The sequence below is a fragment of the Homo sapiens genome, chromosome 19 (assembly GCF_000001405.40).
Source record: "Homo sapiens chromosome 19, GRCh38.p14 Primary Assembly".
Lineage (NCBI taxonomy): Eukaryota > Metazoa > Chordata > Mammalia > Primates > Hominidae > Homo > Homo sapiens.
Genome location: NC_000019.10, coordinates 34,526,667 through 34,541,691, shown reverse-complemented (window position 1 = coordinate 34,541,691; position 15,025 = coordinate 34,526,667). Strand labels below are relative to the sequence as shown.

At 39.1% G+C, this 15,025-nt stretch overlaps 1 pseudogene; it reads left to right on the top strand.

Annotated features, from left to right (window-relative positions):
• Positions 7,579-8,334, top strand: RPS26P55 (ribosomal protein S26 pseudogene 55; annotated as a pseudogene).

The window sequence follows — 15,025 nt, the reverse complement described above, 5'->3', positions numbered from 1 at the left end:
CGTACTCTTTCTCTGTGACTATTTCTGGCAAAAAAATTTCACTAAGATTAGCCTCAGTATAGCCTTTAGTGGGAGACAAGCAAACCTAAAGAAAAACACCTGCTCTTTTTACTAAGAATAGCGGTATTTTGGTGAGGATTATTCGGAGTCCATTTCCAGTGGGCTTACTACATTTCAAGAAAATTTACTGAGCATCACTCGTGTGTATTACACAGCAATGGGATACAGGAATCCAGTAGTTCTGAGCTTTAGTGGTGTGTCAGAATCACTAGGGGGCTTGTTAAAGCACAGATTGCTTTAGCCTCAAGCTAGCCTCAGTTCTAGGTTCTGTATGAGTTGATTTGAATTTGCATTTTTCACACATTCTTAGGTGACAGTAACACTGTTTTGTCCAGAAAGCACATTTTGATAACCATTGTAATAATTAACAAATGTGGTCTTTTTCTCACAGAGACATTATCTGACAAGAGAAATGGATAGCAAATAAATTTGAAATAATCCTTTACAAGTGCTATGAGAAAATAACTAAGAAACAACATACTACAAGAGATCAGAGCAGGCTTAGCTGGATGTGATTTTTGAAATGAATCTTAAATGATGAACACTAATTATGTAATGAGTACTACTCATGTAGCCATGTGCATCCCTGTGTGTGCCTGTGTGTGTGTGTATGTGGTGCACAGGGTGTTATTCTAGGTAAAGTGGATAGTCAAGTTCTGTCATACTTGCTGCAGCTGGATTCCATGTTCCCATGTCTAGTTTCAGATTCTGTGGCTTTGAGGTAGTGCCGCTGGCAGCATCATTGGTTTCAGCAACTGTCATTTCTCCATCTCTGGGTCATAGTTATAGGAGTTTACCTTGAAATCACTAGTCCAGAAGTGTTCCCATTACTTTTACAGCCCACCTACCAATTTTGAAATCACTGATTTACTGCAATATATGTCTTGAAATAGTTAAGAGAGTTTTTGTTCTCTGCACTGAAACTTGACAGATAGTTATGGTTTGTAAGTAGGGAGGATGGCTTCAAATATTCTAAGTTCTAGATAAGAAATGGGGCCAGGCGTGGTGGCTCATGCCTGTAATCCCAGCACTTTGGGAGGCCCAGGCGGGTGGATCACCTGAGGTCAGGAGTTCGAGACCAGCCTGGCCAACATGGAGAAACCCCGCCTCTACTAAAAATACAAAATTAGCTGAGGATGGTGGCACATGCCTGTAATCCCAGCTACTCAGGAGGCTAAGGCAGGAGAATGGCATGAACACTGGAGGTGGAGCTTGCAGTGAGCCGAGATCGCACCACCGCGCTCCAGCCTGGGCGACAGAGTGAGACTCCGTCTCAAAAAAAAAAAAAGAAAAAAAAAGGAAATGGAACGGTCTCACTGGCCCTGTGATTAGAATCCTATCTTGTGATTAGAAAGGTAATGCAGATCAATTTGATTTGGAGTGTATGGACACTGATGTAAGTGAAGGGCTGTGATATGGATTATGCTTCAGATTTTGTTCACTATGGCAGGTGAGAATCATAAGATATGTTATTTTTAAAAGGAACATTATGTTATACATACAATAATTCTGGTGTGGAATGAGTGATAAGGTTTCTGACTTTCAACAAAACATATCTCCTCTGATACATGTACTACCTTAACTGAAAGCTAAAAGCATAGAGGCATATTCCAATAGCACTTTGGAATAGAGACAGTAGGTTTGGAATGGGGTGGTAAATTTTTACTATTCTGCAGGGATTTTATCTTTCATTTGATTTAATTTTAATCCTGAAATTTATATTGAAATTCTATGAAACATTGAGGGATCTTAGACTTATAAGTAAGGAAGGGCCAGGTGCAATGGAACATATCTGTAATCCCAGAAATTTGGGAGGCTGGGGCAGGAGGATTGTTTGAAGCCAGGAGTTCAAGACCAGCCTGGGCAACATAGCAAGACTCGATCTCTAAAAATATATATTTTTTAATTACCCAGGTGTAGGCATATGCCTGCAGTCCTAGCTATTCAGGAGGCTGAGTGGGGAGGGATTGCTTGAGTACAGGAGTTTAAGGTCACAGTGAGGCATCATCACACCACTGCTTTCCAGCCTGGCAGCAGGACACCACTCTGACTCCAAAGTAAATATAACTAAGGAAGCATGACGTGGTATCAAACTGCTGTAATTATGGATAGTCTGGCTACCACATATATACTTATGGGATAATGACAGTAGCTTTCTTTTCTCTCATTCTCTGTCCTTCTTCAGCTCTCCCAAGGAACTGGTACCACAAAGATGAAGTAGTCCTATAATGCCCAGATTTTTTTTGTTTCCACTACACATAGTTTTATGCCACCATGTCACTTTGTTATGACAGGATTCATCCAAAGACCTGTGCTTTGTCATTTAAAAAGCATGAGCATACACATAATAATGCTTTACATTTCTGGAATTAAAGTGCCTTCACAATAACAGAATTAGGAAAAAGAAGGCCATCTTTTTTTTTTTTTTTTTTTTTTTGAGATGGAGTTTCACTCTTGTTGCCCAAGCTGGAGTGAAATGGTGCAATCTCAGCTCACTGCAACCTCCACCTCTCGGGTTCAAGCAATTCTCCTACCTCAGCCTCCTGAGTAACTGGGATTACAGGCATGTGCCACCACACCCAGCTAATTTTTTGTATTTTTAGTAGAGACAGGGTTTCACCATGTTGGCCAGGCTAATCTTGATCTCCTGACCTCAAGTGATCTGCCCGCCTCGGCCTCCCAAAGTGCTGGGATTACAGGCATGAGCCACCACACCCAGCCAGAAGGCCATATTTTTAAATTAAGATATGAAGCTTTTAAGAGCAATAAGAGACCATGACTTTGTTATGATAGAAGGTTGGGCTGATGTCATAATGATGTTACGATGTCACTGACATCATATTATTTCCTCAGTCATACCTATTAACCATTTCTTAAGCATCCACTGTGGACCTAATAGATAAACAATGCATACCCTTTAATAGCTCCAAGGTGTGTGTGTGAAGAGCATTAAGCTTTGGAGTCATGTTACCTGGGTTTAAATCCAAGTTGCATGTATACTGGCTTTGTGTGACCTTGGACAAACTACTTCACTATGTCATGCCTCAGTTTCTCCATCTATAAAATGGTAATAAAGCTATCTCACAGCATTATTATGAAAATTAGATGAGTTAATTGATGCAAAGTGTTTACAACAATGCCTGGCCTCTTAATAGCATTCAATAAGTATTAGCTATTGATTTCATCATCATTGTCTTCTCATGGTTGCTTCATCATTCTGGTCTCAGATGTCACATCTAATCACTTGTCGCTCTTATGTATTTACTGTTTCACATTTTTGAGGGAGCTCTTACAAAATGCACCCATTTCCTTACAACAAATCCTTTAGTATCTGAGCCATTTTGAGGGAATGTTTCTCGCCCAAAATAACCTGAGGGGAAACAAAGAGACCAGATAGGAGATGAGATGAGAATTCAGCAGGTCTGTGAGAAGGAAGGACGGTGCCCTACAGAGCTGGAAAAAAGGCCAACTGAAGGAGGCTGTCAGGCTTCACATAGAGGAAAGGGGAGGCTTTACCCATGGAGACCAGAGGACTACAGGTCTTCAGCATCATCTCTGAGTACAGAGTCCCATGGACTGGGTGCCACTGCCCTCACTCTTCCTGAGTAGAGGTTACAGCCTGTCATTGAAGATCACCGATGCCTGGAAAGTCAAAGTTTCCTTGTTAGCCTTGGGCCAGTCAAATGTGATTAGAGCTCAGTTGTTGGTAAACATCTAGAAAGAATCAAGGCACATATCACTGAGCACTTCCTGGACGCTTAATTCTTTGCTGTTGAGGGGGAGTCAGTCTTTAAACAAATTGCAATTGTGTTAGAGGAAAAAAGCTGTATATGCAGAAGTAATTGATGCAAGATACAAGACAATGACAAGGCCATATGGTTCTGTGTTCTGACTGTGGATTGGTGCTTCTGATCTTGTGGGCTTGTGGGCTTGTAGGCTAGTCATCATTGTTTCAACCCCCACTGGATGAAGTGACTTTCAGGAGATTTTAAAGACTTGCACCTATTTTTTTTAATTCAAAAACAACTACATATACAGAAGAATTCAGAAAGCCGCCTCACATGCTCATGGAAAGATACAAGCACTGAAAAAACCTTCTTCAGCTTTTATTTTAGGCTGATCTCTGGTGCACAGTTATCTCATAATAATACAAACAAAGGCAAAAGTGCAGCAAATCCAGGGGAAGGGGGGAAATATGATTTCCAGAGATATCATATTGTAAGATTCAAATGTCCAGTATTCAACAACAACAAAAACCTGAAGGCATGCCAAAAAACAGAAAAGTATGGCCCAATTAAAGGAACAAAATGAATTGACAGAAAACATACTTGAGGCAGCCCAGATGTCAGACTCACTATAAAAAGACAACTGTCTTAAAGATGCTTTAAAAGCTAAAGAAATATATGAACAAAGGAAAAAGATGTATGAGCAAACTGAGGATAGAAATAATGAGATGAAATGATTTTTTAAAAGAATCAAAAAATCTGGATAAAAAATTACAGTAACAGAAACAAAAAATATGAATACAATAGAGGGATTCAAAAGATAAGCAATTAGAGGAGAGATTCAGCAAACTTAAAAATAGGACAAATATAAATTATCAACATGAAAAAGAAGAGTGAACAGAGCTTAGTGGAACTGTAGCACAACATCAATTTGGGAATCCTTGAAGGGGAAAAGAGAGAAAGGGGCAGAGAAACTATTTTAAGACATAATGGCTGAAAAATCTCCAAATTTGATGAAAGACATGAATTTGCAATCCAGCAAGCAGAATGAACTCTTAGGTAGGAGAATTGAAAAGAGACCCATACTGAGACACATAATCAAATGTCAAAAGCCAAAGACAGATAATCTTGAAAATAGCAAAAGAGAAGCAACTCCTGTCATACAAGGGATCCTCAAGACTATCAACCAGGGTCTCATCAGAAACCCTAGAAGCCAGAAGGAAGCTGATCAATAAACATAAAGTGCTGAAGAAAAAAAGCTGTCAATAGAGAGTTTATATTCAGCAAAATGCTCTTGAAAAATTAGGGAGAAATTCACATATTCCCAGATAAACAAAAGCTGAGGCAGTTGATTATCACTAGACATGTCCTGAAAAAAAAATGCTGAAGGAAGTCTATCAGGTTGAAATTAAAAGAAGCCAGACTGTCACTCAAAGCCATATGGAAAAGTAAAGTTCACTAGTAAAGGTAAATACATGAGGAATTATAAAATGTAATACTATTATAGTTTTGGTTTGTAACTCCACTTTTTTTTTATCTTCTACAGGATTGAAAAGACAAATGCATAAAAATAGTTAGCCTGTTATTGGGAACACAATGTATAAAGATCTAATCTGTAGCATCAATAATGGGAAGTGGTGGGGGTAGACTTGCAGAGTCAGGACTGGTCTCTACCTCACCTAATTCAGATCTCAGACAGCAAGAAGCATCAAATACTACTTGGGAAAGCTGCAAGGACACTAAGACCTGTAGACACATAGAGTAAAAGAATACAGGTGGAGATATGTATACACCATCTAAGTCTCCAAGACAACCCAGGGGGAGACTCTTTGGAAAAATAAGACATTTAAAAGCAGCTGTGTATACAGAGGGATTGAAAAAAACACACACAGACCCAACCAAGAGATATGCTCAGAAAATACCCAAGAACCTTAAGCTTTTTCCTCATACTGATCCCAAGGCACAGAACATTCCTAGCTAATTATTAAAGGACTTTCCTGAAACAGACCCAGTATACAAAGACTGAGAGATGTGGCTGTTGTTTTCAAATGCCCAATTTTCACTTAAACAATCACAAGGCAATCAAAGAAATAGAAAAAACATTGTCCATTCAAAAGATGAATACAAAGTGGCACAAATCATCTCTGAAGACAGGCATTGGGTTTACTGGACAAAGACAACTGTGTTAAATATGCTCAGATATTAAAGTAACTGTATTAACGGTATTAAATGGGCTCAGATACATAAAGGAAACACAAAGAACTAAATGATATCAGGGAAATGATTTAAAACAAAATGAGAATATCAACAAAAAGATATAGATACTATAGAAAGGAACCAAACAGATATTGTGAAGCTGAAAAATATATTAATCTATTAGTCAAGATGAAAAAATTAGGAGTTCAACAGCAGACTTCAGCAGCCAACTTGAAGATAAGACATTTTAAATGATCAGATCTCAGCAATAGAAAGTAAAAAGAATGAAGAATAGTGAATAAAACCTAAGGAACTTATGGGAAACCATCACTGGACCAATATATGTATTATGGGATTCCCAGGAAAATAGAGAGAGAAGGTAGTAGAATTACTTTAAGAAATGTTGACTGAAAACTTCTCAAATTTGAGGAAACACATGAATGTGTAGATTCGATACGTTAGTGAACTCCAAGTAAGATAAACCCACTGAGATACATAATAGTGAAATGCCAAATGACAGAATCTTGAAAGCAGTAAAAGAAAAGTAACACATCACCTGTAAAGGATCCTCAATAAGATCATCAAGTCATTTCTCAGCAGAAACCCTGCACTCCAGAAGGAAATGGTATGATATATTTAAAGTGATATAAGGAAAAACCTGTTAATTAAAAATACTATGTCTAGCACAATGGTCCTGCAAAAGTGGGGAAAAATGAAGACATTATCAGATAAGCAAAAGCCATGAATGTTCATTACCAGTAGACTTACCCTATGAGAAATACTAAGGGTCATTCAGATTGAAATGAAAAGACACTAGACAGTAATTCAAACCTATGTGAAGAAATAAAGTTCTCTGGTAAGTATATGGACAGATATAAAAACCAATATTATTGGCCGGGTGCAGTGGTTCACGCCTGTAAATATATATACATATATATATATATATATATATATATATATATATATATATATATGTAAATATATAAATATATAAATGAATATATTTATATATATTCATTTATATATTTACATATATATACATATGTATGTAAATATATATAATTTAATTTTGCTTTGTAACTCGTTTTTATTTTTGACACAACTTAAAAAGACAAATGCATAAAAAAATTATAAACCACAGAAAGACAAATACCATATAATCTCACTTATATGTGGAATCTAAAAAAGTCAAACTCATGAAAGTAGAGAGTAAAATGATGGTTAATAGGGACTAAGGGGTCCCAAGTTGGTCAAAGGATACACAACCTCAGTTAGATGGGAGAAATAAAAGAGAGCTATTGCACAACATGATGACTACAGTTAATGCATTATATTCTTGAACATTTCTGAGAGTAAATTTTAAGTGTTCTTACCACAAAAAAGGATAAGTATATGAGGTAGTGTAATATCCCTCAAGATATTTCCTAATTTACCTTGTGATTTCTTCATTGACCTATCTGTGATTTGAGTGTGCCATTTAGTTGCCATATATTTGTGAATTTTACTGTTTTCTGTCTGCTATTTGTTTCTAGTGTTTCATTACATTGTGATCAGAAGATACACTGTATGATTTCAATCTTTAAAGTTATTAAGACTACCTCTCTCTGGTCATTGTGCCTCAAAGATGACAAAGAAAAGAAAGAACAACAATCATGCCAAAAAGGGCCGCGGCCACATGCAGCCTATTTGCTGCATGAACTGTGCCCGATGCATGCCCAAGTACAAAGCCGTTAAGAAACTCGTCACTGGGGCCAGGTGCAGTGGCTCATGCCTGTAATCCCAGCACTTTGGGAGGCCAAGGTGGGCAGATCACGAGGTCAGGGGTTCGAGACCAGCCTGCCCAACATGGTAAAACCCCATCTTTACTAAAAATACAAAAAATTCGCCTGGCGTGGTGGCAGGAGTCTGTAATCTCAGTTACTTGGGAGGCTGAGGCAGGAGAATCGCTTGAACCCGGGAGACGGAGGTTGCAGTGAACCAAGATTGTGCCACTGCACTCTAGCCTGGGTGACAAGAGCGAAACTCCGTCTCAAAAAAAAAAAGAAAAAAACTCATCATTTGAAACATAGTGGAGGCCGCGGCAGTCAGGGACATTTCTGAAGCAAGCACCTTCAATGCCTATGTGCTTCCCAAGCTGTATGTGAAACTACATTACTGTGTGAGTTGTGCAATTCACAGCAAAGTAGTCAGGAATCGATCTCATGAAGCCCGCAAGGACCCAACACCCCCTCCCCGATTTAGACCTGCGGGTGCTTCCCCATGACCCCCACCAAAGCCCATGTAAGGAGCTTAGTCCTTAAAGACTGAAGACAGACTATTCTCTGGGGAAAAATAAAATGGAAATTGTACTTAAAAAATAAAATTATTAAGACTTGTTTTGTGGCCTAATATGGTCTATCCTAGAATAGGCAAATTCATAGAGACAAAAATTACAGGTTACCAGGGGCTAGAGGCAGAGAGGAAGGGAGAATTTTTGTTTATTGGATACAGAGGTTTGGTTGGGGATGATGAAAAGTTCTGGAAATAGATAATGCTAGTGGATCCACAAGCTTGTGAACGTACGTAATGCTCCTGAATTGTACACTTGAAAATAAAGTGGTAACATTTATGTTATGCATATTTTATTACAATAAAAAATGAAATGAAAAAACCCTATACACTGCCTTTCTTTTTATTGGGAAATTAGATGCCTCATCTTTTATTCTAATAGCAGTTTGGCAAGAGGGAGGGCCCCAACCATGTAAGTTAATGTATTTCTCAGGGTAATTTTCAGAGTGCCTCAAACCATACCTGCTAAGCTTAATCTCCCTCGAAGCTGAGACAACCTATTTCTATTAGAACCCACTAGTATAGAAAGTCAATGGAAATTACATGGCAAGATTGGAACATGTCAAGAAAAAGGTAGACAGGACAAAGTGTGTAAGTGCTCACCACTTACACTGAGAAGAATGTGACTTTCTGGAAGGTGGTGGATCCCAATGTATAAACAAATTGCTTAATTATTTGCAGCTTTACTTCTCCCTTAAAAATTTATTTTAGTAAAAATAATAGTACTATACAAAATTACTCATTGACAATTAGTCATTATTTATGTGACTGAAAATCTGCAATTATCTGTCACTGACCTTGGTTTGCTAATTTTGTAGTTATTTAAATCAGTTTAATATGAAATATACCAACCCATTTCCTGGTTGTAAAGCTTGGGAGAATTGAAGCAATGAAATAAAGTCCAAGACATAAACACAGGAAATGTTCAGAGAATATGTAAATTTTTATAGTAAGTGAATAAATCACTTATTACATTAAAATGTGTGGTCTCCATACCAGCAACATCAGCAGTACCTGGAAACCTGGAAGAAATGCAAATTCCTTGGAGGTTGCTCCTGGCAGAGAAGATATCTGAACAAAGGCCTGGCAGCTCAATGGACTAGGCTTTAGGGAGATCTGTTGGGTGGAGGTAGTTTGGGGTATAGTTGGAGAAGCATTCATCATGGCAGGGGAAGGGTTGGAACCTAAGGAATCGTTCCAGACACACTAGGAGTTTGGATTTCATACCAAGAGTAAAAGGCAACTTGGAAACAAAGGGGCATCCTCTTCATGCCCTAGGGACAGGTTGGGTCATAAATAAGGAAACCAGTATTGGTCATAGCTATGGCATACTGAAGGGTGGGTCTCCCCTACAGGGTACACTGTTGCAGGCATCCAGCCACTACTGTATAGTCTTCCAGTCTCTGTAGGAACCATGCCTGGAGCTATTATAAAATTGCCCAGATTCACCATGGTGGAAACTGATTCATACTTTTAGGTACAAACCCTTAGGGGAGCCTTAACCCACACCTCTAAGCTGGAGGTAGATGCCCAGGAAGTACCTGGTTAGAAACAGAACTCGAGGGGCTTGGAAGGGTAAAATCCTGAAGTCAAAGGACAGCCTGTTTTACAAGATGTAAAGGTTCTTTTTATGGTGGGATATAACATGCTGACACTCAGACACATGAAAAGCAGAACGCTTGGTTACTTACAGCTCCAAAGGGGAGAAGGCTGTCAGGCAAGGGTATGCAGGGGGTTGCACCCAGGGACAGGGTAACAGTAAGGAATAACTGTAGAGGGCTGCTTATGTATGGCAAGCAGGGTTAGTGGAGCTAGTTAGGTTTCAGGCTCCCTGTGGATTGATGAGTTTGAACAATTTCACAGGTTTCAGGGAATAGGGGTCATCCCTAGCTGTCTGGTACCTGGCCCTGGGGTGATTAGAGCTTGTGCATAGTGACCCAGAATGTGAGAGCCCATTAAAGGGAACTCACCAGCCTCTTGCCAGGGCTTCAAAACTAGATCAAGATAGCATTAAAAACAAAAAAAAGGTCACATATGGTGGCTCATGCCTATAATCTCAGCACTTTGGGAGGCCAGGGCAGATTACCTTAGGACTGGAGTTCAAGACCAGCCTGGGCAAAAAAGGGAGATCCTGTCTCTACAAAAAAAATAAATAAATAAACAAACTGAACTCTATTATGTAGCCCTGGGATAGAAGCTCCAGCTTGGCTTGTGAAAGCTTCTGAAAATTTCCACATGAAAAGGAGATATTGACAAAAGTATAGGGGAAAGAGAACTTGATAACGAGAAATAGAAAATATAGATCTAGACTTCTGGTTTCCATTCCAGCATGTAAAGAGCTTGTTACTCCCATCCTCACAACAACAAAAGGTTGAACAAACTGAAAATCAATAGCCCTTCTTAAATTCTTCAGAGAATTGAGTTCATAGGGCAAAGCAATGCCCCCCAAACTGGAGAGACAGCAAATATAGAGGATCAGATTTTGAGGAGTGGAAGCCTTGGGAACCAGCAACTGATAGGGACAGGTGAACAGTAATTAAATTGCCGGAGGCTAAGGGTGGACAAGCTTGAGACTTAAAACCTGGGAACCCAGTCTCATAATGGGGTCAGCACCCATACTTTCATGAGATTTTTCCTCCAGGAGACACACAAGATTCTCATGATGAAGACTGGAGAAAAATTATCTCATGCTTCAGACAGGAGGAGGGGTGAAAATAATCATTCTGAAACACACCCAAGGAAACAAGCATTTTGAAGTAAGCCCAAAGTATCCTGTGCTATATAACAAAAGCCTGCCCTCAAGGGAAACTACTTTACCAAATCATGTGTGATCTGTGAGGAGAACTAGTCAGTCAGTCCCATCTAGCCCTCCTATCTCAAACAAATTGAATCTGTAATAAAATGTGTCCTATCAAAGAAAAGCCTAGATGCCAATGGCTTTACTGCAGAATTCCACCTAACATTTAGGAGAAAATAATAGTAATTCTTCTCAAACTCTTCCAGAAAATTGAAGAGTAGGGAATACTTCCAAATTCATTTTGCAAGACCAGCATTATCCTGATACCAAAACCAGAGGAGCACACAGCAAAAAAAAAAGAGAGAGAGAGAGAGAGAAAACTATAGGCCGATATCCCTGATACATGTAGATGTCAACATCCTCCACAAAATACTAGCCAACCAAATTCAGCAGCACATGAAAGTGATCATTCCCATGACCAAGTGGGATTTAACCCAGGATGCAAGGATGGTTCCAGATACACAAATCAATAAGTGGGACGCACCACATCAACAGAGTGAGTACAAGAACCATATGATCATCTTGATTGGTGCAGAAAAAGCATGATAAAATTCAGCAGCCCTTCATAGTAAAAGCTCTTAACAAACTGGGTATAGAAGGAATGCAGCCCAACACAAGAAATCAATGTATGGCAAACACACAGCTAACATCATAGTGAATAACGAAAAGTACAAAGCTCTTCCTCCAAGATCTGGAACAAGCCAAGAATGTCCATTTCTACCACTTTTATTCAATGTAGTGCTGGAAGTCCTAGCCAGAGCAATTAGGCAAGAGAAAGAAATAACGGGCATCCAGACTGGAAAGTAAGATGTCAAATTGTCTCTGCTTGCAGAGGACATCATCTTATGTACAGAAAACCCCAAAAGCACCACCAAACTACTCTTAAACTGACCGATGAATTTATTAAAGGTGCAGGATACAAAATCATCATACTAAAACCAGTACCATTCCTGAACATCAACAACAAATTAGAAAAGAAAGAAATTAAAGAGCAATCTCGTATAAAACAGCTACCAAAAAAAAAGCTTCAGAATAACTATAACAAAGGAGGTGGAAGACCTCCACCAAAAAAACTATAAAATACTGAGGAAACCAATTGAAGAGGACACTAAAACATGAAAAGATATTCCATGCTCATAATTGGAAGGATCACTATTGTGAAAATGACCATGTTGCCAAAAATGATCTGCAGATTCAATGCAATCCCTATCAAAATATCAATGATATTGTCACAGAAATATAAAAAATAATCCTGAAATTTATATGAAACCACAAACGACTCTGAGCATCCAAAGCAATCCTGAGCAAAAAGAACAAAGCTGGAGGCATAGCATGACTTGACTTAAAAATAGGCTACAAAGTTAGAGTAAACAAAACAGCATAGTACTGGCATAAAAACAGACACACAGACCAGTGAAACTAAATAGACAACTCAGAAGTACGTCCAAGCATTTACAACCAACTGATTTTCAACAAAGGCAGCAAGAACATTTATTGGTTCTTTACATTTCCTGGAAGAGCTTTGTACTTTTCCCTATTCACTATGATGTTGGCTGTGGGTTTGCCATACACTGATTTATTGTACTGGGCTACATTCCTTCTATACCCAGCTTCTTAAGAGTTTTTACTATAAAGGGCTGTTGAATTTTATCACGCTTTTTCTGCACCTACTGAGATAATCATATGGTTCTTGTACTCATTCTGTTGATGTGATGTGTTACATGTATTGATTTGAAACAAGGCAAGAACGTCCATTATCACCACTTTTATTTATTTATTTATTTATTTTTGAGATGGAGTCTCGCTCTGTCACCCAGGCTGGAGTGCAGTGGCACGATCTCGGCGCACTGCAACCTCCGCCTCCCGGGTTCAAGCGATTCTCCTGCCTCAGCCTCCAGAGTAGCTGGGATTACAGGCATGTGCCACCACACCCAGCTAATTTTTTGTATTTTTAGTAGAGACGGGGTTTCACCATGTTAGCCAGGATGATCTCAATCACCTAACATCGTGATCTGCCTGCCTTGGCCTCCCAAAGTGCTGGGATTACAGGCATGAGCCACCGTGCCTGGCCTGTCACCACTTTTATTTGACATAGTACTGGAAGTCCTAGCTAGAGCAATTAGGCAAGAGAAAAAAAAACTTGAATGAATGATGCCTGGAACATTAAATATCTGTATGCCGAAAAATGAAACTAGACCCCTATATCTCACCATATTAATAAAATCAACTCAAAATAGCTTACAGACTTAAATTAAGAGCTGAAACTATGGAACTACTCGAAGAAAGCAGGGGAAATGCTTCAAGACATTGATCTGGGCAAAGATTTTGTGGTGAAGAACTTGAAAGCACAGGAAACAAAAGCAAAAATAGGCTAATTGGATTACATTAAACTAAAAAGCTCCTGCACAGCAAAGAAAACAATCAACAGAGACAAGAGACAACTTGCAGAATGGGAAGAAAACTGCAAACTATTCATTCAACAAGGGATTAATATCCACAATATATGAGAAACTTGAACAATTCAATGTCAAAAAAAATACAAATAATCTGATGTAAAAATGGACAACTTGGCCAGGTGCAGTGGCTCATGCCTGTAATCCCAGCACTTTGGGAGGCTCAGGTGGATGGATCACCTGAGGTCAGGAGTTCAAGACCAGCCTGGCCAACATGGTGAAACCATGCCTCTACTAAAAATATAAAATTAGCTGGGCGTGGTGGCCCGTGCCTGTAATCCCAGCTACTCGGGAGGCTGAGGCAGGAGAATCACTTGAACCTGGGAGGCAGAGGTTGCAGTGAGCCAAGATTGCACCATTGCACTCCAGCCTGGGCAACAAGAGTGAAACTCTATCTCAAAAAAAAAAAAGAAAAAGAAATGGACAAATTAGCTGAATAAACATCTCTCAAAAGATGACATACATATGGCCAACTAATATTTTTAAAATGCTCAACATCACTTATCATACAGGATATGCACATCAAAATCACATTCAGATATCATCTCATCCCAGTTAAAATGGCTACTATGACAAAGACAAAAGATACCAAATGCTAGTGAGAAAGCAAAGAAAAGAGAACTCTTGTATGCTGTTTGTGGGAACGTAAATTATTACAGCCATGAGGAAAAACACTATGGGGGGTTCCTCAAAAAACTAAAAATAGATTTACCATATATGGTCAAGCAATCCCATTACTGGGTACACATCCAGACAAAAGGAAGTCAGTATATCAAAGAGGTATCTGCACTCTCATGTTTATTGCAACACTGTTCACAATGGACAAAACATGGAATCAACCTAAGTGTCCATGAACATGTGAACAAATGAAGAACATATGGTATAAATACACAATGGAATATGATCTAGCTATGAAAAAGAATAAAATGCTGTCATTTGCAGCAACATAAATGAGCTTGGAGTCATTGTGTTAAGCAAAAGAAGCCAAGACACAGAAAGATAAATACTGTATGTTCTCACTCACATGTGGAAGGTTAAAAAGTTGCTCTCATAGAAGGAGAGTGTAGACTAAGGGTTACTTGAGGCAAGAAAGAGTTGGGGGAGGTGGGAATATAGCCAAAGATTGATGGATGGATACAAAAGTGCAGCTAGATAGGAGGAATAAGTTCTAGTGTTCTATAGGATTGTAGGGTGACTGTATTACACAATTTACTGTATATATATATATATTTTTTTTGAGATGAAGTCTCGCTCTGTCGCCCAGGCTGGAGTGCAGTGGCACAATCTCAGCTCACTGCAAGCTCTGCCTCCCAGGTTCATGCCATTCTCCTGCCTCAGCTTCCTGAGTAGCTGGGATTACAGTTGCCCGCCACCACACCCTGCTAATTTTTTGTATTTTTAGTAGAGACAGGGTTTCACCGTGTTAGCCAGGATGGTCTCGATCTCCTGACCTCGTGATCCTCCCA